This window comes from Homo sapiens, chromosome 5 (assembly GCF_000001405.40).
Source record: "Homo sapiens chromosome 5, GRCh38.p14 Primary Assembly".
Taxonomy (NCBI): Eukaryota; Metazoa; Chordata; class Mammalia; order Primates; family Hominidae; genus Homo; species Homo sapiens.
The window spans coordinates 122,719,939-122,744,039 of record NC_000005.10 but is presented as its reverse complement, the minus strand read 5'-3'; the positions used below and the strand labels follow the sequence as shown (position 1 = coordinate 122,744,039).

Below are 24,101 nucleotides of genomic sequence, written 5' to 3'. Positions count from 1 at the left end.
GAGGCAGGAGAATTGCTTGAACCCAGGAGGCGGAGGTTGCAGTGAGCTGAGATTGTGCCACTGCACTCCAGGCTGGGCGACAGAGCAAGACTCCATCTCAAAACAAAACAAAACAACAACAACAAAAAAGATAAACCTGTGAGACCCTGGTCAAAGCCCTCTTTGAGGGAGGAGTTTGCCAGTGACCTGTGCCATACTGTGAAGCCCAGTCTAGGAATTCACACCCCGTAGTATTTCACCACAAGGCATGTTGCTGTAGGAACAGTTTTATTCCTGAGAGTTCAGTGCACCATTCCCATGCCTCTCACCTATGTCTCCCATGAGGAGGACTGTGTTGGCACCTTCTGGTCAGCATACCAACTGACCAATGAATATTTCAGAGGTCTTTCAGGGTTTTACCCTTCAACCCTACCCCCAATCTCCCACATGACTTAGCGGAAGATTCTTGCCTTCCAGGCTGATTCTTGATTCGTTAGACTCAAGACCCGTTGCAGTAATTACAGTAAAACTGATCACTCCCACAGAGATGACAGATTAACTCCCATGAGAGGTCATCTTAAGCTGGCTGTTACAAAGGTTGCAGCTACACCTTAAGCTGGCTGTTACAAAGGTCTCAGCTGCTCAGAAGACTGAGGTGGGAGGATGACTTCAGCCTGGGAGGTGGAGGTTGCAGTGAGCTGAGATTGCACCACTCTACTCCAGCCTGGGTGAGAGAACACAGACCCTGTCTCAAAATAAAGGCAAAAAAAAAAAAAAAAAAAAAAAGCAGCAGCCAAGTAAATTTATTAAGTGCCTAATTATTTAATGTGAGAAGTCTGGTGATAAGCAGCCCTTTTTATTTAACAAAGTATTGTCTTCACTTTTCCATATATTACATGAAAGATCTTACAAAACCTTTTTGCTCTTCTGCTATTGTCTATAAACTTGTTCCCTGTTTCCAAGGAACAGGGAGTGAATGTAAGTTATAGGCCATTAGTTCTTTAGCTCCCTTATTATTTTATAGATTGTGAATTTATTTCCTATATCTGTAATGCTCACTTGCTTCATTTAGAAAATCTGTATGTAAATGTTTTATTGAAAAATAATCATAATTACAGTTATTAAAATTTTTCATCTAAATGCTTACATAATTCATTTATTCTTCTATTTAACAAATATTTACAGATATTTACTGTGTGTTAGACATTTTTCTGGGCATGAGACACCGAGCAGTGAATAAATATGAAAAAAAAAATCCCTATCCTCATGAAGCTCACATTTAAGTAGGACAAGACTGATGCTAAATAAAACAAATAAGTAAAATATACAGAATGTTAGTGGCATGGAGAAGAAATAATGCAGAAGAGAAGGATACTGAATGCTGGAGGCAGGGCTGCAATTTTAGACTGAACAATCATAAAAGAGGTGGTGGCTTTGTAATGTGTAACTTGACTAGGCTGAATGATGTCTCTCCTGTGTGTTTTTTTGCGCAATATTTGGAGGGAAGACGTGAAACAGCCACCATGTTGTTTTTTATGTTTAGAAAGTCAGGACAGGTAATGCTGTGGCCCTTTTACTGGCTCACTTCATTAATATAGCACAGAAGCTGGGCCTGCAACTGTTCACCTTCCCCGGCATCCTCCTGCAGCTTCTCTGACTCCTGGGTCAGGTGTGTGTTTAGTTCTGTGATGAAGGGAGCTGGCTTCTTATGTAGGATAGCCCCATCATCTGGTTGGAGGCAATGAGAACTGATAGGGGGTCCAGCGTGCCCTGTTGGATTCCGGCCCACTGACCAGGCTCTCTTCAACTTTATATCCATCTCTCCTTCCTACTCTCTAATCTATAGACTTCAAACTCCAGCATGAAATGCAAAGAAAACAGCCTTACAGAGTCTGGTTAATGAGCTCCTACAATTGATTAAGTCAAATCCATGTAACAAATTCATTTTCTCTCTCTCCTTCTCTTTTCAACTAATTCTGCTTCTTTGATTGAAACATGTCTAAAACAGAAGTCCTGTCTGAAAATGTGATATCTGAACAAAGATCTAAAGGAGGTGAGCTGTGCATATCTAAAGGAGCAAGCTATACAGATAGAGATCTGGCAGAGAACAGCAAAGGCAGAGGCCCTAAAGCAGGAGCATGCCTGGTGCGGTTGAAGAATAGCAAGGAAGCCAGTGAGGTGAGATCACAATCAGGGTGGGGAGAGGAGCTGGTGATTAGTTCAGGGGGTGGGGGGTGGCAACTATAGACTGCATAGATCTTTGGCCATTGAGTGCATTGAGTTTTACTGTGAGTAAGATGGGGAGCTATTAGAGGATTTTGGAGCAGAGGAGTGAACGATTTGGCTGACATTTTAGCAGAATGCCTATGACAGCTGTGTGGAGAATCAACTGCAAAGTGGAAAGAATGGAAGCTGAGGGAACAGTTGAGAGGCTATTTTAGGATTCAGGCAAAGATAGTGATGGTTTGGAGCAGTGGGAGCATTGGTGGTGATAGGTGTTGGGTTTGGAATATTATTCCAAGGTAGAGTTGACAGAATTTGCTGATGAAAATTTTGAAGAATTTAAGGTAAAGAGAAGAATGAAGGATGATTCTTGGTTTTTGGCCTGAGCAGCAAGGTGAATAGTAGGATGGAGGAATGGCCATGGAGGAAGATTTGTGAAAGAAAATTGAAGATTTTGTTTTAGATATAATTTTGAAACATTTATTTTACACTCCAATGAATGGTCTAGAGTTCAGATGAGGAAAGAGTCAGGGTGGAGAAACACAATTGTGAGATGTTACAATGAAATTTAGACCACGGGCACACTGAGATTACCTAGGGACCCAGTGACCCTGACAAGAGCTGTTTCAGTAGAGTTGTGAGGGTTAAAGCCTACCTGGCGTGTATTCGAGACAAAATGGGAGAAGAGGAATTGAAGGTAGCAAACCTAGACAATACTATTGAGTTTTCCTGCCACCAATGTGAATTTATATCCCCAGTCCAAGTATATTTGAAATACCGCCAGTCATTTGTATCTTACAGATACATTCATGAGGAAGGAATATTTTATTTTTGTTCATATGTATATCTTTCCCACTAGCCAACCAGCACCCAGAGGGAAGAATCTGTATTTTTCTCATCTTTCTATTCTTGCCAAACACAATGCACGAGCTAGATATTTATTGAATAATAAACACCTTTAATTAAGTGCTTCTCTGAGTTAAATGCTTTGTCTATATAAGGTTCTTGGAAATATTTAAGAGTTCAACTGGGCATGGTTTTCAAATGATCATAGCAGTCAAAAAATACATTAGCATCTAAGGACTAGGGGGAAAGGCTGTTCATATTCTTCATAATTGTTGTTAGTCATGGACTGAAAATAGGTAATGGCTTTTTTTTTTTTTTTTTTGAGACAAAGTCTCGCTCTCTCGCCCAGGCCAGGGTGCAGTGGCTTGATCTCAGCTCACAGCAACCTCCGCCTCCAGGGTTCAAACGATTTTCTTGCCTCAGCCTCCCAAGTAGCTGGGATTACAGGCGGCCACCATGATGCCCAGCTAACTTTTGTATTTTTAGTAGAGATGGGGGTTTCACCATGTTGGCCAGTTTGGTCTCCTGACCTGAAGTGATCCACCCACTTCAGCCTCTCACAGTGCTGGGATTACAGGCATGAGCCACGGCGCCCAGTTGGTAATGGCTCTTTTTTTTTTTTTTTTTTTTTTTTGAGACGGAGTCTCATTCTGTCACCCAGGCTGGAGTGCAGTGGCACGATCTTGGCTCACTGCAACCTCCGCCTCCTTGGTTCAAGCAGTTCTCCTGTCTCAGCCTCCTGAGTAGCTGGGATTACAGGCACCCACCACCACTCCCAGCTAATTTTTGTATTTTTAGTAGAGATGGGGTTTCACCATGTTGGTCATGCTGGTCTCAAACTCCAGACCTCTTGATCCGCCCACCTCGGCCTCCCAAAGTGCTGGGATTACAGGTGTGAGCCACCACGCCCAGCCGGTAATGGCTCTTTCTAAAGAATTATGCAGTTTTGCACTGGAATAAGGAAGCAGAAGGAAAGTCAGAAATGAATTCAGAAAGTAAAGGAGAGGATGCTAGATTGCATAATCCTTTTGAAAGTAAGTTGCTGGGCACAGTGGCTCACGCCTGTAATCCCAGCACTTTAAGAGGCTGAGGCGGGTGGATCACCTGAGGTCAGGAGTTCTAGACCAGCCTGGCCAACATGGTGAAACCCTGTCTCTGCTAAAAATACAAAAATTAGCCAGGCGTGGTGGTGCATGCCTCTAATTCCAGCTACTCAGGAGGCTGAGGCAGGAGAATCGCTTGAACCCAGGAGGTAGAGGTTGCAGTAAGCTGAGACCGCGCCATTGCACTCCAGCCTGGGCAACAAGAGACAAGAGCAAAACTCCATCTCAAGAAAAGAAAGAAAGAAAGAAAGAACGAAAGAAAGAAAGAAAGGAAGGAAGGAAGGAAAGAAAGAATTTTTCTAATCATATATTTAACCTATTTTTATCTTGATGCACTGTAAAAAAAATGCTTATAAGTATCGCTTGCATTTCTGGCAGTTTATTGACTTAATCAAAGGTTTAAGGATTTTAAGAAGCATAAAAACAATTTTCTAGAAAAAACAGTTTTCTAGAAGAATAAACAGTTTTCTAGAAAAAAAATGGTAATAATTATTAGAGGAGAGACCCAAATAGACTCCATATTAAGATGGGTAAAGAATGCTGAGGAAACCGAAAAACTTAAATAAAGGGAATATCAGGACATTATAGGGCCAAAGAAATAATAGCATTGCTATAAGGAATGTAAATCTGTCTAACATAGAAGTTTTTTGTTACAATTGTTAACACTGCAATGCTATGTATTGGAGATGCTACAGACTGAATTGTGTCTCCTCAAAATTCAAATGTTGAAGCCCCAGTGTGACTGTATTTGGATACAGAGCCTTCAGGAGGTAGTTATGAGTAGGTAAGTTCATGAAGATGGAGCCCTAATCCTAATGGTTTGGTGTCTTTATAAGAGGAGGAAAAGAGCTCTCTCTCTCTGTCTGCCATGTGAGGAGAAGGCAAGAAGGCTGACTGCAAGCCAGGAAGAGAGCCCTAGCTAGAAACTGAACTCTGCGTGACTTAAGCAAATTAATTTTCTCCCAATTCTGGAGGCTGGAAAGTCCAAGGTAAAAATTTTGGCAGTCTACGGTATTTTGTTATGGCAGCCTAAGTAAACTAAGACAGGAAGGAAACAACAGTTAAAAATGGAAAAACGTAGTACTATTTTATTAATACATGAAAAAACCCAGACCCCTTAGAATGAAATATGTACATAATGCTAGGTACATTCAGTTTTCTTTAATCCTCAGTAGAATTCATTGAGATAGGATTATGATTCCCATTTTAGTGAAGTTCAGTGAAATTAAGTAATTTATTCAAGGTTATGCAGCTAGTAAGTGGAAGAGTCAGGTTTTGTACTTAGCTCAGTTTGATATCAAAGGCCATGTTCTTATCTATCATTTATTAATTCTTCAAAAAGTACTTGAGTCTCTGCTATGTGGCAGGTCCTGAAATGGATGTAGACATTCTTTCAACTTGTTCCCTGCCCTCAAGGGGCTTACAACCTTAGGTTCTAGGATTTGAGCCAGGATTAATTATCCTGAAAGCCTAGGCCAGGTGTAGTGGTAGCAACTACCTCAGGGCTGGAGGGCATGGAGCCAAGAAGGAAACATTTCAGATAACCAGATGGAAACATCAGATAGGTAAGATTTGAAGTGAAAGGTGACTATTGGAATCTGAAACATTCTTGTGTGTTCTAGAACAATACTTCTTACAATATAGTGTGCATATGAATCACCTGGAGATCTTGTTAAAATATAGTTTCTGATTCAGTAGGTTTTGAGTAGGCCCTGAGTCTGCATTTCTTTCTTTCTTTTTTTTTGCTTTGAGACAGAGTCTTGCTCTGTCACCCAGGCTGGAGTGCAGTGACATGATCTCAGCTCACTGCAACCTCCGCCTCCCAGGTTCAAGCAATTCTCCTGCCTCAGCCTCCTGAGTAGCTGGGTTTACAGGTGCGCACCACCATGCCAGGCAAATTTTTGTATTTTTAGTAGAGACGGGGTTTTATCATGTTGGCCAGGCTGGTCTCCAATTCCTGATCTCATGATCTGCCCCCCTCGGCCTCCCAAAGTGCTGGGATTACAGGAGTGAGCCACCGTGCCCGGCCGAGTATACATTTCTTAAAGAAAACACCTCCCAGGTAGCATGGTAGCTGCTGGTCCAGGGGCCACATTAAAAGCTCAAGAAGTTAGAAAGCAGCAGTAATACTTGTTTTTTTGGGCACCTCCACCCTTCAGCCCAGAGAGAGCACAGATAGAGACACCACATAATGTGGTGTCACATAATCTAGCCACACATAATATGTGTGGTAGATATGGCCACACATAATCTAGCTCACTGTGGGGTAAGGAAACAGGGGCCTTTGGTAAGAAAATACAGGTTCTTTTAAAAAAACTGTTCTTTATTGAGCACCCTGGTATAATTAAATCGGGTTTTATGGTTCTATATAGCCCCAAGTGATCAGTTTGACATAATTTTGAATTTTACAACTTGTGCTTTGATTTCCATAGGGGTTCATATTTTTAACTTCTTTATTTGAAATCATTGTGACATCCTTGTCGTAGAAGGTATAGAAAGAAATTAAAACAAATTTCCCAAACCAAAGCATTATATATACAGTAAGGTATTTTTATATGTTCTGAACAGTCATGTAATTAACTTTATTTCAGTTGTGGACACTGAAACTTGATAACATTTCCTCTTCCTTCACTCCCATATTTAATGACAAATTATATCTGAGGCTGACCAACAAGATGATTTGTTTTTTCTGAGCCATGAATAGCTAGGAAACTCCATTCTATTTTGGGATAAAATACAATCTTTTAGTAGCAAGAATTTGATAAAACAATTTCTGTGATGATTTCTTCTGAGGCTTTCCAATCCCTTAGACAATACTTTATTCTTCTCCATGAATAATTTGGAGCCTTTTAATTGCTAATGTTTCCATCCAGGAAAGCCTGAGAAGATATAAACATTTTAAACAACCTTCTAAAGTTGGCTCTGAGTCCTTTTGTTCAACTCAAATACACGTACTTTTACAATGGGAGGATTTAAAATAGTTATAAAAATCAAAGCCTTTCTTTGTCTTCTTTTGTAATCCCTGCTCTATCCTCATGATACTTATCACTTCATATTTATACGGTAACTTTCTCCAACTTTCCCAGCATGTATCATATGCTTTAAAAGACTGTCGAAATATTCCTATGGCAAAGATAGATTAAAAGGAACAGCAAAAACAACTTTTATCCTCTTTCCCTGCCCTGGCCTCTTCAGCACCGTCACAAACAAACCTTAAACTCTAAACAGAACAGAAAACTTTTATGAAGTTAAGGAAATTGGAGTTGGAACAGTAACAGATTTACTAAAAGGCAAAAATAAAGTGTTGCTCCAGGAAGGGAAGTTACACAGGAAATAGTGGGGATCTGACAAGAAGCAACTGCAGATTATTGTAGGCTGTGGCCAAACACCAGTTTAGGATTTTTCCTTCCTTTCTAGTTTTGCTGCCACTTCCCCAGAAGAGACCACTATCACCAATTTGTGCAGACTTTTGCAATTTACTCCCACTTGACCGCCTTACCTCCCCCATCATTCCCTTGCATCGCAGTTCATCTTCTCTCCTGCCACAGACTCTAAGTTCATGAAAGCGTAGAACCACAGCTGCAGACCTGCCTCATCCCCAAACACAGCTAACCACCTTGCAGTTCCTCTAGGTACCTCTGCGTAATGCTAACTGCTGTGACTAACCCCAAACTTTCTATGGCTTAACATTGTGGAGATTTTAAAAACATATTCAGAACTGGAAAGAGTGGTAAAATGAACTCCCTTTACCCTGTCAGTCAGCGATGACAATTTTTAAATTTTTGTCAGTCTCGTATCATCTATTCCCAACTATTTGTTATTTTTGTTGAATTATTTTAAAAGAAATCTCAGACATCACAGCATTTCAGCTGTAAATACTTCAGCATATAAGAAATAAGGATATTAAACACACCCACCCACAATGCCATTATCCTCCTGAACATGCCTAACAATTTCTTAATATAAGCTAATATCCAGTCCTTGACATTTTCACAACTGTACAGAAGAAGTATTTTCCAATTGGTTTGTTTGAATCATTATCATTTGGTTGTTACATCTCTTAAATCTCTTTCACTCTGTAACTGTTCCCCACCTTCCCCTACCCCTGTATCATTTATTGGCTGAGGAAATCAGATCTTGCTCTTTAAATAGTCCCACATCATGGAAGAGACTGGTTGCTTCCCTGTGGTGTTGTTTAATTTGTTCCTCTATCCATTCCTCTTGCCTTCCATTTGCTATAACTAATGGGTAGTTAGACCTACAGGCTGGATTAGATCCTGGAATTGTTTTACAGAGGACAGGGCAAGAATACTTCACAGGATTACTTCCTATTTGCGGTAGCCAGCCTCCAAGATGGCCCCAGTAATCTTCACTTTCTCATATTCATGTCCTTGTGTAGTCCCTTACCACAATGACTAGGAGGAATGACTTGTGAACCAATAGGACATAGCAGAAATAATGACATGGGACTTAGGAGGCCAAGTCATAAAAGACATGTGACTTCTTCCTCTCTCCCTGTTGGATCACTCAATCTGGGGGAAGCCAATCAAGACAGCTGCAAACTCAAGCAGCCTTATGGAGAAGGTCACGGGGTTGAGGCCCCCTGCTGACAGCCATATGGGTGAGCCATCTTGGAAATGGATCCTGCAACCCTAGTCAAAGCCCTCAGATGACAATAACCTTAGCTGACACCTAAACTGCAACCTCATGAGATTCCTTGAGCTAGAACCACCAGCTAAACTGCTCCAGAATTCCTAATACAGAGAAATTGTGGGTGTCGATAAATGTTTACTGTTGTTTCAAACCACTCAGTTTTGGAGTAATTTATTATGCAGCAATAGATAAAACATTTACCAGTTTATCACATACAGTTTGCTTGACATACTTTTAATAATGCTAAGATTGATCAATATGTTCAGGTATTATCAACCTGATCTATCCATTATAAAGTTCCCCATGAACATTTCACCTAGTGGTATTAGTACCCATTGATGTTTCATTGACTAGATTTATTGTTTCGTTGGGGGTTCTGTTACCATTTCTTCTGCCTTTATTAGTTGAGATTCTTCTGTAAAGCACTTTGGGAGGCCGAGGCAGGCAGAGCACGAGGACAGGAGATCGAGACCATCTTGGCTAACGTGGTGAAACCCCGTCTCTACTAAAAATGCAAAAAATTAGCCGGGCATGGTGACAGTCGTCTGTAGTCCCAGCTACTTGGGAGGCTGAGGCAGGAGAATGGCATGAACCCAGGAGGCGGAGTTTGCAGCGAGCCGAGATTGCGCCATTGCACTCCAACCTGGGCAACACAGAGAGACTCCATCTCAAAAAAAAGAAAAGAAAAAAAAGTTCTCTAATCAACTACATGGATACACTGAAATGCCATTTGTGTAGGAAAACCATGATAAATGTCCTGCTTAGAAGTTTCTTAATAATAAATGTAGAAAAATGACAAGGAACTAATTATTTGATATTAAAAACTGCTTAAAACTTGGAAGTTTTATATAGCTTGAATTGAAAGACGTTTTGAAGGCCGGGCGCTGTGGCTGAAGCCTGTAATCCCAACACTTTGGGAGGCCGAGGCAGGTGGATCACCTGAGGTCAGGAGTTTGAGGCCAGCCTGGCCAACATGGTGTAAACCCCGTCTCTACTAAAAATACAAAAAATTAGCTGGGCGCGGTGGCGCGCGCGCCTGTTGTCCCAGCTACTCAGGAGGCTGAGGCAGGAAAATCGCTTGAACTTGGGAGGTGGAGGTTGCAGTGAGCCAAGATCGCGCTATAGCACTCCAGCCTGGGTGACAGAGGGAGACTTAGTCACACACACACACAAAAAGACGTTTTGAAATTTGTAATTTTTATATTCCCTTCACTGACTGTCCTAAATGAATTGAAAACCAGTGTTTTCAAATCAGAACTTTTTAAATTAAAAATGACAGGGGAGTGGGTGAGGGGCGGTTGGGCGCAGTGGCTCACGCCTGTAAACCCAGCACTTTGGGAGGCCGAGGTGGGCAGATCACCTGAGGTCAGGAATTCAAGACCAACCTGGCCAACATGGTGAAACTCTATCTCTACAAAAATACAAAAATTAGCCGGGCATGATGGTGGATGCCTATAATCCCAACTACTCTGGAGGCTGAGGCCGGAGAATTGCTTGAACCCAGGAGATGGAGATTGCAGTGAGCTGAGATCACGCCACTGCACTCCAGTCTGAGTGACAGGGTGAGACTCTGTCTCAAAAACAAACAAACAACAAACATAATAAAATAAAAATAAAAATGATAGGGGGATGAAGGAAGAGGCACTTATGCTGCTAAATTGCTAATCTGTCCTGTTTTACAAGGATGTAACCGGCTGTTTTGATGTTCAGTAGTAGATGAGATGTGAGATTCAAAGAAAATGTTGCCAGGTTGTGGTTGCTAGTGAGTGTGGACTTTTACTGGAGGAACAGGTCTAATATGACTACCAGCATTTTCTGTTCCATTCAGCTTTAAAGAGTCTCCTGGGCAAAGTGTTCTGCAGAGCAGCAAACATTACTGCCTTCGTAGTTCTTATTATAATCAATTTAACATGATTTTATATAATCACTTCTGGGCTATAAAATGCTATAATTCCCAACACTATAAGGCCGTCTGAAACCGTGGCTAAAAATATACACAATAATTGTTCACAATTCCAGAAATAATTCCCCAACCAGATCTGGTTGTGAGGATGGATTTTTTTTTTCCTCTCCTCAAATATATCACCTACCACAGATTGTGTTTTCTAAATAAGTGAATCTGCTGAAATATTTTATTTCTTAGGATCAAGAATAGTTAAATGTCAGTATTTTGCTTTAAATGGTTTCCAACCATTTCCTCAGGGAAAGCTTTAATGTACATTAAAATTTTATTTCCCATTTTGTGAAAACATATTTGGGGAAAGGAAACCTGGAGTTCTCACATTTTAAATGCTCATCACAGAAGTGTATATCCTTAATACATAATTACCTTTTGTACCAGTTACCACCATCATTTAGTTTACCCTTAGATTTTGCACTCCATTCCATTAAGTGCCACCCGCCAAACATTTACTGAACATTTTCTTTTCTTTTCTTTTCTTTTTTTTGTGACGGAGTCTCGCTCTGTCACCCATGCTGGAGTGCAGTGACACAATCTTGGCTCACTGCAACCTCCACCTCGTGGGTTCAAGCAATTCTCTGCCACAGCCTCCCGAGTAGCTGGGATTATAAGCACCCACTACAATGTCCGGCTAATTTTTTTGTATTTTTCTTTTTTAGTAGAGACAGGGATTCACCATCTTGACCAGGCTACTCTTGAGCTCCTGACCTCGTGATCCACCCGCCTTGGCCTCCCAAAGTGCTGGGCTTACAGGCGTGAGCCACCATGCCTGGCCCATTTATTGAACATTTTCTAGGGACAAAGCTTTATATACTCATAACATACAAGCTGTTAGGGTTATAAGTGAAAAGAATGAGAATGTAATACCCAGTGTTCATGCAAAGCGGCCAGTAAGTTTCATTTTATGAGCAGACTTTGATTGATTGATTGATAGGGACTTCCAGGAGTGCTCTATGGAGAATAAACTTAGGATCATATTAAGGTCAGCTGGCGTGACTTCCACCATCAAAATAATATCGTCCATGATCTAGAGAGTGGGAATTGGTAGTAAATTGCAAATTTTAACCTAAAAATTATGAGAAAATGTAGGAGAAAAGGTCATTATTTCTAAATTGCTTCAGAGAGAAAGTAGCTATGAATCAGGCTTTGGAAAAGGAGAATTTAGATATTAGAGAATGAAGAGGGGAAGGGACATTCCAGGCACTAGGAATTGGGAAGATCAAGATATAGAAGTAAGCAATCCAGATAAGCCAATGGATGAGGCTACAGCAAAGTCTGCATGGATGGATGTTGTGGGAGACAAAGTTGAAAAAAACACACAGAGAATGAAAGAGAACAAAATCATTATCTCATTAGGTATCAAAGTGGCTGGGCTGAATATTTTTTATACTTGCATATCAGACCATCTTATAAACCTAAATGACTTTACTTCTCATTTACACATATACAAACAATACTCAAAATGTCTTTTACTACTCTTGTGCACTATTGGAATGTAAATTAGTTTAGCCATTATGGAAGACAGTATGAGGTTTTCTCAAATAACTAAAAATAGAACTATCCATATGATCCCAGCAATCCCACTACTGGGTATTTATCTGAAGGAAATAAAATCAGTATATGAAAGAGATGCCTGCACTTCCATGTTTATTGTAGCACAATTCACAGTAGCAAAGATCTGGAATCAGCCTAAGGGTCCAGGATGGACAAATGGATAAAGAAAATGTGATGATACACACATATATATATATATGATATATATGTGATGATATATATTATATATACTATGGAATACTATTCTGCCATAATAAGAATAAAATCCTGTCATTTGCAGCAACATGGATGGCACTGGAAGTCACTATGTTAAGTGAAATAAGCCAGGCACAGAAAGACAAATACCATGTTCTCACTCACACGCAGGAGCTAAAAAATTTGATCTTGTGGAGGGAGAGATAATGATAATTATCAGAGGCTGGGAAGGGTGTGTGTGTGTGGCAAGGGGAGATGAAGAGAGGTTGGTTAACGGATACAAACCTACAGTTAGATAGAAGGAATAATTTCTAATGTTAGTTAGCAGAGTAGGGTGACTAGTTATCAACAATGTATTGCATATCTCAAAATAGCTAGAAGAGAGGTCTTGAAATGTTCTCAACACATAGAAATCATAAATGCTCGAAGTAATGGATATCCTAAATATTCTGACATTCTATGCTTATAATGAAATAGCACATATACCCCGTAAATTTATAAAATATCATGTAACAATAAAAAAAGTCTCGTACTAACATCTGATACCAGTTTATTATAGTGGACACTATTGCCTAACAAACATTCACACTTTCTAATACATTAAATTTCCCTTGGGAAACTACCCCGCTATGTTCTGCCATATTTGTATGCGTGTGACTGTTTCCTCAGTGTCCGGGAGAAACTGGGAGAACCAATTAGCATATCCCATTCTTCTGGTTAAGTAATGGGGTTGATGATGGGCATCTAACCCAATCAGAGACAGGGAGACATGGGGAGACCTTGGCTGGGCTCCTGAGTAAGAAGAGCATTCACATTTCCACAGAATCCAGTGATGTAAGGACATGAGGCTTGACACTGCTACTGTCACAATGGGAGACAGCCTCAGGATGAAGCCAACACTCAGAGAATGACAAAATCAAAACTTGGAGATTAACTGACCTCATATAGCATTGCATAAGCCCCTGAATCAAGTTATGCCTGAAGCTTAGTCCTTGAGCCTTCAACTACATGAACCAATATATTTCTCTAATTAACCAGGCAAGTTTGAGTTGGATTTTCCATCATTTACTACAGAGTGCTAACTGGTAGAGTTATTTTATACCTTCACAGTTTTCTTTTCTTTTTTTTTTTTTTTTTGGAGCCCAACAGAATAATTTGTATCCTTATTAGCTCACTCCTGCAGCCCGTAGGGAAACAGACCAGTTACTCTGTCACCCAGTGACTTTTTTATCTTTGTATATTGATAGGTTTCCCCAAGTGTTCTTGGAAGTCCTTTTTACTTTCCTAATAATGAAAGCCTAGTTTCAAATCCTCTTTTTGTTTTATTTTTGATTCACACTGTATCAATTCTCCTTATTTGGTAAAATTGCAATAAGAACACAAAAATTCAATTGAGACTTGGTTTACAGGGAAATACATTCATGTTTGCTTCATATTTGAGCAATATTTATAAACACTCAATATTTGGTGCAAAGGTCTTTATTATATGGAAGGATAACCACTGCTAATGATCTGGATGATGTCCTTCCAGACTTATTACCGTAAGGCTTATATACATGAAACAAAAATGGGACCATGTTGTAGATACCACACAGCACCATAAAACACACATTTTATATTTTATGTTTATCTTTTTAGAAACAAATAGCACCTTGTGATATATTTTCCCTGCTATCTCTTCTGACTCACAGCTACACTTCTGGGAGTATCACAGAGATTTGAGTCAAAAGGCTACTTGGTTCATTATATTCTAAAGTTAAACATGCTTGCACCTAATCTATGTTTGGATTGGTAGGCCAGAGGGAGTTTCTCTAAGATTTGAAATATCTCTCACTGGTTTCACTCAGGAGAAACGGACTTTCTTTAAATCATCAATCTTTAAAAACATCAAGAAATGGTGGTCTTCAACAAATGAGGAGGAATGAAGGAGAATGATCCTATTTTCCAGTGAATTATCACTTTACTTTGGAGACTTTGTGGGAAGACTTACTACGAAAGTTCCTTTTGAAGAACTGAAGTGATCTTATCCCTGCCTGAAAATGTAACTCTCCTTCTCTAGTAATATAATGACCAGAGAAGAGTGTTATTTCAGCTGATTAAAATAGCTTTGTTGTAAAACTTCATTGCTCAATACAATTATTTCCAGGATAACTACTTTCACTGCCACTAATTTAAAAGGGCATTTATGGTTCCACTGAAAAAAGATACTTAAACATAGAAAATTAAATCTGTGAAACATCTTCAAGTAAGTTAAAACAAGAGGCTTAGGCATTCATAAAAATGTTTGACAGCCTACTAAAAAGTTGTTAATTTTGCCATTGTGTACTATTAACTTTTTAAGTAGTCATTATTTTTAAGAATGATATGTTTGGATTTTAATGTGTTGACATTGAAATAATGGTGTGTGTAAGAACCTCTTCTTGGAGAAAGAAAGAGAAGTGGTGGTCAACAATGTCACCACTGAGAATGAGGACAGAGAAATGACCACGTGGGGTTTGATGCAAAGAGAGCACTTGAAACCCCTGGGAGAGCAGATTCAGGGGGTGGCAAGGAGACAAGTGATGTCCAGGAAGCCTGCGGGGGGGAATGGCTGGTGACATTTTGACCATGAAGGTTTTCACAGCGAAAAATGTCATACCACAGCCAAGGAATTGAACTTTTTGGGTCACTTGGAAAGATTAATTATCCTGAGCTTAATTTTATTGTTCTAGTTGTCTATCACGGAGGAACAAATCAACCCCAAACACGGTGGTTTTTGAACTATAATTCATTTTGCTCATAAATGTGCGATTTGGAAAGGGCTCTGTGTTAGTTTTCTATTATGTGACAAATTATCACAAATTTAGTGGCTTAAAACAACACACATTTGTTATCTTACAGTTTTGTAGGCAAGCAATCCAACACAGTTCTCACTGAGCTAAAATCAAGGTGTCAGCAGGGGTGTGTATCTTTCTGGAAGATCCAGGGGTAGAATCTGTTTTCTTGCCTTTTCCAGCTTCTAGAGGATGCCTGTATTCCTTGGCTCACAGTCTCTTCCTCCATCTTCAAAGCCAGCAACAGCTGGTCAGGTTGTTTTCCCACTGAATCACTCTAACCTTCTCTCCTGCTTCTCTTTTCCTCTTTTAAGGACCTTTTTATTGCATTGGGCCCATCTGGATATCCCAGGATAATCTCCCTACTTCAAGGTCAGCTGATTAGCAATTCTATCTGCAACTTGAATTCACCCTTGCCATGTAATGTAACATATTCATAGGTTCTCGGAATTAGTATATGTACATCTTCCCATTATTCTGCCTACCACAGGCTCATTGGGGATAATGGCTCCTCTCTATGCCACACAGCATCATCTGGGGCAGCTGGAGTGGGGCTGGAACATCGACTTCCATGACAGCCCATCTATGTGGCTGGCAGGTTGGTGAGCTCAGTTCCTCTCTGTGTGGGCATCTCTAGAGGGCTGCTTTGGCTTTTTCACAATGTGATGGCTGGCTTTGAAGAGCTATTATTCCAAAGGACATTAACTGGAAGATGGCTGTGTCTTAAGTCCTGGGCCTGGAAATTGACACAGTGTCACTTCCGATATATTCAGTTAGTTAACGTAGTCACACAGCCCATCTAGACTCAAGGGGAAGGAGCATCGCGCCCCAATTCTCAATGGAAAAAGTGTCAAAGAATTTGTAGACACCTTTGCCAGGCATGGTGGCTCATGCCTGTAATCCCAGCACTTTGGGAGGCCGAGGAGGGCAGATCACGAGGTCAAGAGATTGAGACCATCCTGGCGAACATGGTGAAAACCCATCTCTACTAAAACTACAAAAATTAGCTGGGCATGGTGGCGCATGCCTGTAGTCCCAGCTACTCGGGAGGCTGAGGCAGGAGAATCACTTAAACCTGGCAGGTGGAGGTTGCACTGAGCCGAGATCATGCCATTGCACTCCAGCCTGGGGACAGAGACTCTGTCTCAAAAAAAAAAAAAAAGAATTTGTAGACACCTTTAATTCTTCATATTGCCCACTGGTAAAAAAGGGATAATCTTTACTTGCAGTATTGCTGGCAGAATTAGAAATGATGTGTGTAGAGTGACTCATAACATTCCTACCGCATGTATAACAATGCACGGAAGAAAACAATTCTCAAGTGTCCGTAGAATGAATATGTGTGAATACATGAATACTGTGGTTCTTAATATTCGTGGGTTTGGATGAAGATTATAGTTCCTTTCCCCAGAAAACTGTACACATGCACTATGTATACCTTTTGACACATTTCAGGGGATTCCCAGACAAGGTTAAGATCCTTAGGACTAAGATACCAAGTAACAGTGGATTAAAACACTGCAGGGCTATTGTGCATGTGCTGTGAGACATAATTTGGATTTGTTTCCTTTTTAGATATGGGGCTGGGAAGAGTTTTTATACTTGCTTCCAAGATAGCCTGCTTTGCATTTTTTTTTTATTTAGTTAGGCATGTGGGGAAAAGATATTCCATTATAAGTGCTTGCCTCTGTTGTTTTATCTTTATTTTTTATTTTTGCTCATATTGCTCACATAAAGGAAATGCAATAATCTTTAAGAAAGAAAGGGGCTGAATATTTTCATTCTTCTTGCCAAAGCTCTTAATCTTTTGTAATACTGAATAATTGCACTTTCATGCAATTGATCTTTATTTCAAAAGTTTTTTTTTACTTAAAAAAGATTTATTTTTCCTAATGATCAAAATCTGAGAATTTAAATAATACAGAAATAAAATAGAAAAGGAAAGTCTTTATTATATGGAAGGATAACCACTGCTAATGATCTGGATGATGTCCTTCCAGACTTATTACCATAAGACTTATATACATGAAACAAAAATGGGACCATGTTGTAGATACCATGCAGCACCTTTTGCCCTTAAATATATTGGGCACACCTTTCTATGCTAGTGCTTATCGGTCTACTTCAGACTCTGGTGGCTGGATAATCTTCCATTATGTGATGTATCAGAATATATTTTATCAAATTATAAAACCTCCATTAGAAGATTTATGTGATGTATATAGCTATAATAGCCCACTGAACCACGAGAAAAGGAGTTTATTTTGTTTTTCCTTCCCTTCCTTGCCCCTCACTTCATTCTCATACTGGTTTCACTGACTCTACTGGGAAACACGCCTTGATGATTTCCCCCTTGATCATTTATTTGTTTTGATACTACCACAATCTACAGTGGAAAGAACTCTGAGAGTCCAGAGACCTGGCATCTAAATCTGCTGCTCCATGCTTAACTGCAGTTTCCTCACTTCTCAGCACTGGTTCCTCAACTGCATAAGAGAAGTGGATTAGATGGCCTCTGATTGCTTTTGCCCATCTCTAGTTGGATTTATTGAGTTGACCATATGCTAAGCATTGCACCAGGAGCTTTCTAGGTTGCCCTTATACCAATTGCATCAGGTAGATAATATAATTCCCATTTCTTACACAGAGAGAATGAAGGCAAGGAGAATGTAAGAACTCAGAAGGCAAGAAGAGAAGCTGGCATTAGAATGCGGTTGAACAAGAGAAAGAGTTGGAGATGCTGAGTTCTGGAGGCAGATCTACCTAAGGTAAAGGCCTGGAGTCTACCAGCATTTGAGAGTTTATGGTACAGTTTCACATGTATTCTTTTTTTTTTTTTTGAAATGGAGTCTCGCTCTGTCACCCAGGCTGGAGTGCAGCGGCGCGATCTTGGCTCGCTGCAAGCTCCACCTCCCGGGTTCACGCCATTCTCCTACCTCAGCCTCCTGAGTAGCTGTTACTACAGGCGCCCACCACCACGCCCGGCTAATTTTTTTGTATTTTTAGTAGAGTCGGGGTTTCACCATGTTAGCCAGGATGGTCTGGATCTCCTGACCTCGTGATCCACCCTCCTCGGTCTCCCAAAGTGCTGGGATTACAGGTGTGAGCCACCACGCCCGGCTTCACATGTATTCTTTCAATTGTGCTTCCCCATGTAGATAAGAAAATAACTTTTATTTTATTTATTTTTATTTATTTATTTTTTTCGAGATGGAGTCTCACTCTGTCGCCCAGGCTGGAGTGCAGTGGCGCGATCTCGGTTCACTGCAACCTCAGCCTCCCGGGTTCAAGCAATTCTCCTGCCTCAGCCTCCTGAGTAGCTGGGACTACAGGCGCCCGCCACCACGCCCGGCTATTTTTTTGTATTTTTAGTAGAGACAGGGTTTCACCGTGTTAGCCAGGATGGTCTCGATCTCCTGACCTCGTTATCTGTCTGCCTCGGCCTTCCAAAGTGCTAGAATTACAGGCGTGAGCCACTGCGCACGGCCTTATTTTTAAAATTTAATTAATTAATTAATTAATTAATTAAATTAAATTTAATTTTTTTTTTGAGACAGAGTCTTGCTCTGGTTCCCCGGGCTGGAGTGCAGTGGTGCTACCTCAGCTCACTACAGCCTCCGTCTCTAGGGTTCAAGCGATTTTATGCCTCAGCCTCTGGAGTAGATGGGATTACAGGCGTGTGCTACCACGCCCAGCTAATTTTTGTATTTTTAGTAGAGATGCGGTTTCACCCTGTTGGCCAGGCTGGTCTCGAACTCCTGGCCTCAAGTGATCTGCCCGTCTAGGCCTCCCAAAGTGCTGGGATTACAAGCGTGAGCCACCACACTCGGCCTTTGTTCCCATTTAATTTATTAATTTATTTATTTTTATTTTATGATTTTATTTTATTTTTTTTGAGAGGGAGTTTCGCTCTTGTTGCCCAGGCTGGAGTGCAATGGTGCGATCTTGGCTCACTGCAACCTCCGCCTCCCCGGTTGAAGTGATTCTCCTGCCTCAGCCTCCCTCGTAGCTGGGATTACAGGCAACTGCCACCACGCCCAGCTAATTTTTGAGCTGTTTATTCTCATTTTAAACATAATAAAACAGAGAGGTTTAGAGGCTTGTACGAGACCATATAGATAGGAAGTAGTATTAGAGAGAATTAATTTCTTGGTTAGTAGATAACAAATTGGGCCTTCTGATTCAGTTCTATTGACCATTGAGAATTCATATAGCATTACTTACCTTTCCTGTGCTAATTTTCCAGTTAATGTAGATGAGGGAAAAGATCCCGAAACCCAAAATTGAGAAGCAGCCATTGGGAAGAAAATATTTTTAGAAATCAATATACAACATCTGCATAGATATTTCCATCTTACAGTCTTAAAATTAACTTAAAGTTTTATTGACATTTTCCAAAAATGTACTCATCTTTTAATAATAGTATACTTAGGAAACTGGCAATGAGCATCCTTTAAAATGAGTAATGGACTCTGTCAAGCAGGCAAACATTTGCCAAGGGAATAAGAAGAAAAAGATATTTACCAATCCTGTGAGTCTCTAGTTTTAGTTCTGTTTGTGAACAAGTAACAGGCCGTTAAGTCCCTAAGGGGATCGTCTTCCTTCCTGGGTATTTAAGGTATTCCAAATCACCTTAGTTAAACAAACTCCATAGTCAAGTAAAACTCATTGTTTCTAGTGCAAGACTTTAATAGTTGCTCCTTAATTTCATTTCCATAGTTGCATTTCAAAAGAAAACTTAAAACTATATAAAGCACATGGGAATTTCCCATCTGATAGGAAGATCAAATGGGGATGTACTTAACTCATTGCCCTCAAGTGTCCCTGCTGGGCATTGGAATGAGTCTTGCTTAGAAAACAAGCAAGAGATCTCCTAAGGCTTAGGATCCATTCCATCTCTACATATAAACACTGTGGCTACTTGGAATAGGTTTTGTGATCTCACTTTTAAACTTGTACTTTCGTCCTAACCAGTTCTGGTTTCAATTACACATTTGGCTCAGCTCTGAATCAGCTTCCACCACGCCTCTCTCTCTTGGTAATAGTCCTGCTTGCCTCTTCCTCCTTTCCCCCTTCACTGGTCATTGTAGAGACTCTTTCTTTGCCCTGGGTTTCACACTATTTTCTCCAAACTCAATAAAGTACTCTTTGTCATTTCCAAGTGTATTTTTTCGTTTCCCTGTGCTTTGTATGACAGAAAGAAAAAGACAATCACTCTTTGTCCCCTCAAAGAAGGGAGAATTTGCTGTTTGCCCAGGTAATTCTTGGTTTTAGGGCCATGCTGGACCCTTTTTGTATATGGGGCCACCTCAGTTTAGAAGCAGAAAGTATCTGGTAAGTATCTGGACTGAGTATCTGATAGATTCTTTCACATGCAATTCCAGTGAGGAAATGTCTAGGGTTTTCATATCAACATATATTTGCAATATTCTCCCAAATGGTCATGGACTTGGAGAGTGTTCTGGGTGTGAGAGAAGGCATAGTCCTCCCTAAATCTTGAGTAGGTTCCTTTCTCTTGGCTTTCTCCAGGGTGACTGCATTTCCTGTTCTCTTTAGTTACACCTGGTTTAAGTATTAGTTAAGGTAGAGGTTTCGGCCTCTGAGGTGTATACTCAAAATAATTGAGACTTTTTCTTTTATTCTTAAATAACATTCAAGAATAAGTTGTCTGGGGATAATTGTGGTTTCATAATGTTTGGACCCATGTTTCATCCATCTCATTGCTCTGCCATTTCCCACATGCAGCTTCTACCTATAGCCAGATATGACTGCTCTCACTGTTGCACATGTCTGTCCACATCACAGCCAGTAGGAAGGAAGAAAAGAGGGAAGCAGAGATCATTTCCTTTACTTTAAGGACAAAAGAATGAATTTCAACATTACTACTGCTTAGATTTTATTGGCCAAGACTTAGTCAAATGACCAAAGTTGGCTGCAAAGGAGACAGATGGCCATGTGCTCAGATAAATTTTGGGATTCTATTTCTAAAGGAAGATGGGGAGAATAGATATTGAAGGATAATTAACAATTCTCTGCCACAGTCAGTGCCTTTAACTACATCAATATCTGTGCACACGCTTTTTCTCACAAATGAAGCATATTTATTTCCTTTCCTATCAAAGAGGAGATAACTCAAAGGTCCTATGTAATTACCACATCTTGAGCAAAGTCTATGTGTAATGCTCTCATTTTGTCTGGGTATGTTTCCTTGTGGCCTAGCAACCTATGAACTAAAAAATAAGTTATCTCTCCTTCACAGCATAATAACCACAGTTAAGACTCCATTTGGAAAAGGAAAGAGGCTGTTACTGGTCCAGATGAACAGAAACTGCTAGGACCCCTTCCCTGGGAATAGATCTTCACACGGCAACATCTTGTTCTGTTTTTTAGGAGGAACTCTCTGTTCATCGTCTTCCATGGCCTCATCTGTGATGGACACTGGAGAATAAACCTTTCTTAAAGGCTGCATAGCATTGTACCCCATTTTCCTGCTGGTGTAGGTGTGCAGTTATGTGGAATATTATTTATTTACTCCTCTAGATTATTTATTTTTCTCCTTCTCTACCCTAATCTTTTTTTCTGGGAGACTGACAAGATTACCTCAATAGAACTTCCTTGTTCTGTTCTCAATTGGGTTCAGCAAATGGGGAGCGCTGGAGGAAGATCAGAGGAAGGGAAGAATGAGAAAGGTTGGGGTATTTCTTCCCGTGGCTCTCTCCTTCACAGGGTTGCCCTAGGCTTGTGGTGTCCCTCAAGCAAAGGTCTTGTTGCCTGTCAGGCATCTCTTTTTGTCTGCTAGTTTCAGAAACTGTTTTCTCTCCTCACTAAAGGATGGTAATAGCACCCCACTGTTCCAAGCTGAAGGGGTGACCTACTCTTCCTTTCCGTCAGCTACTTCTTCTCACCATGTACAAATAATTCCTTAATTAAACTCTCCTCAAATTACAGAATTTAAGTCTTTCCTAATGGGACTCTGACTAATACAGGAGCAGAAGCCAAAAAACAACAGGACTATAATTTCCTTGGAAATAAAATATCCCCCTCCTTGCCCTCCCCAGTTAAATTTTCTGGTTTACTTGCATCATTAGTTTCAGGTACAAGGAACCACAAACATAGATCTGACCCTAATACAGTTTTGAAACTAAAGTATCTGACCTATTTATTGCCCTCTGTGCTCTGTCCATTTGCCCTCTCAATTTTAATGTAGCCATGTTCAGGCCATTTAAAACAATGGACTGAGTGGGAGGCCACAGCCATCATCTGATATTTGGACGGAGTTGGCACTCACTGACTGTCAGGGACTTTATCAAAAGTGCTCGAAAAAGGTTTGCAGTCCACATTCTCCTCCTCCTCCTCTCTTTCTCTCTCTCTTTCTTTCTTTCTTTCTTTCTTTCCTTCTCTCTTTCTCTTTTTCTTTCTTTCTTTTCTTCTTTCTCTCCTTCCTTCCTTCCTTCCTTCCTTCCTTCCTTCCTTCCTTCATTCCTTCCTTCCTTCCTTTCCTTCTCCATTTTATGGGGGGCCACATTCTAATTTCCACTTACAGCTGCTCTTGAGAGCTACCTTTTATTCTTGCTTGTGTTCGGTAAAGAAGAATTGGCTTTTTTGGCTGGGCACGGTGGCTCACACCTGTAACCCCAGCACTTTAGGAGGCTGAGGCAGGAGGATTGCTTGAAGCCAGGAGTTTGAAATCAGCCTGAGCAATATGGTAAGAATCTGTCTCTACCCCCAAAATTAGCGAGATATGGTGGCCCAAGGCTGAGGTAGAAGGATCGCTTGAGCCCAGGAGGCTGGGGGTGCAGTGAGCTGTGTTTGCACCACTGCCTGGGTGACAGAGTGACACCCTATCTCCAAAAAACAAAACAAACAAAAAACCAAAAATACTTTTTTTAAACCTTTGAGCACCCAAATTACTGCACTTTCACTCAAGTTATATTTCAGGCAAGACAGAAAATGCCTCTTTTCATAAAATAGAATTCTCCTCCCTTAGGGGAGACTATTTCAGACTTTATCTCTTTTGTAAGATTTTGCTTCAAGTGGCAAGAAGCAGCCAACACACACCAAGATCCTGAATTTTTCCAACTAGTTGCCTTAGAGTCACAGACTCTGACAGTTTATGGCTTACTGTCCAATGTATGGCAGGTAACAGTTTAGCCAAAGTTTCATTATGACATAATAAGAGTCACCAGCTTTCCACCCTGGCTTATCTGAATATTTGCTGTTTCCTGTTCAATTGCTGTATTAATATTACATATGTCTTTTGTTGCGGAAGTCTCCCTTCCAGATACTGCTTCTATATTAGTTAGATATAGGTTTAACTGTTATAAAAAGATCCCCAAATACTAGTGGCTGAAGAAAAACAGAAGTTAATTTCTTTCTCATGTTTCAACCTAAGTGTAAGCTGACCATACCTAACATGGCAGCTCCATGATGTCAAGGCTGTAGCTTGTCGTCTTTAATGTGTGACCTCTTTAGCATGTGACTTCCATGTTTTTTGCATAAGATGACTTCTCTAGCTTTTGCTAGAATGTCCATGTCTCAGTCATGAGGAAGAAGAAAAAAGGAAAGTGGTGGGCATGACCCATTTCTTTAAGAATATAACTGGGGAGTTACAAATGTCACTTACTCATCTCATTGGCCAGACCATGGTGACACCGTCACACCTGGCTTTAGAGAAGCTTGGAAAGTATAGCTCTACTACTCTGGGTGGCTATGTTACAGGAAAGGAGTCCTGATCCAGACCCCAAGAGAGGGCTCTTGGATCTCGCTCAAGAAAGA

The 24,101-nt window shown here is 40.5% G+C and overlaps 1 long non-coding RNA gene across 1 annotated transcript in view, besides 1 other annotated feature; it reads left to right on the top strand.

Moving 5' to 3' along the window:
• The first annotated feature begins 13,479 nt into the window (after positions 1-13,479).
• The window catches only part of LINC02201 (long intergenic non-protein coding RNA 2201), a 101,609-nt gene continuing 90,987 nt past the window's right edge, over positions 13,480-24,101 (top strand). Inside the window, exons 1-4 of the long non-coding RNA NR_109881.1 lie at positions 13,480-13,551; positions 15,641-15,698; positions 17,974-18,094; positions 21,717-21,826. This is a non-coding gene — a long non-coding RNA (long intergenic non-protein coding RNA 2201). The remainder of the gene's footprint in view (positions 13,552-15,640; positions 15,699-17,973; positions 18,095-21,716; positions 21,827-24,101) is intronic.
• Positions 14,160-14,360: a silencer, noted in NCBI's record as "peak5446 fragment used in MPRA reporter construct". NCBI's record gives its function as "represses an SCP1 promoter by STARR-seq MPRAs in K562 erythroleukemia cells {active_cell/tissue: K562}" and the evidence as "EXISTENCE:reporter gene assay evidence [ECO:0000049][PMID:32103011]".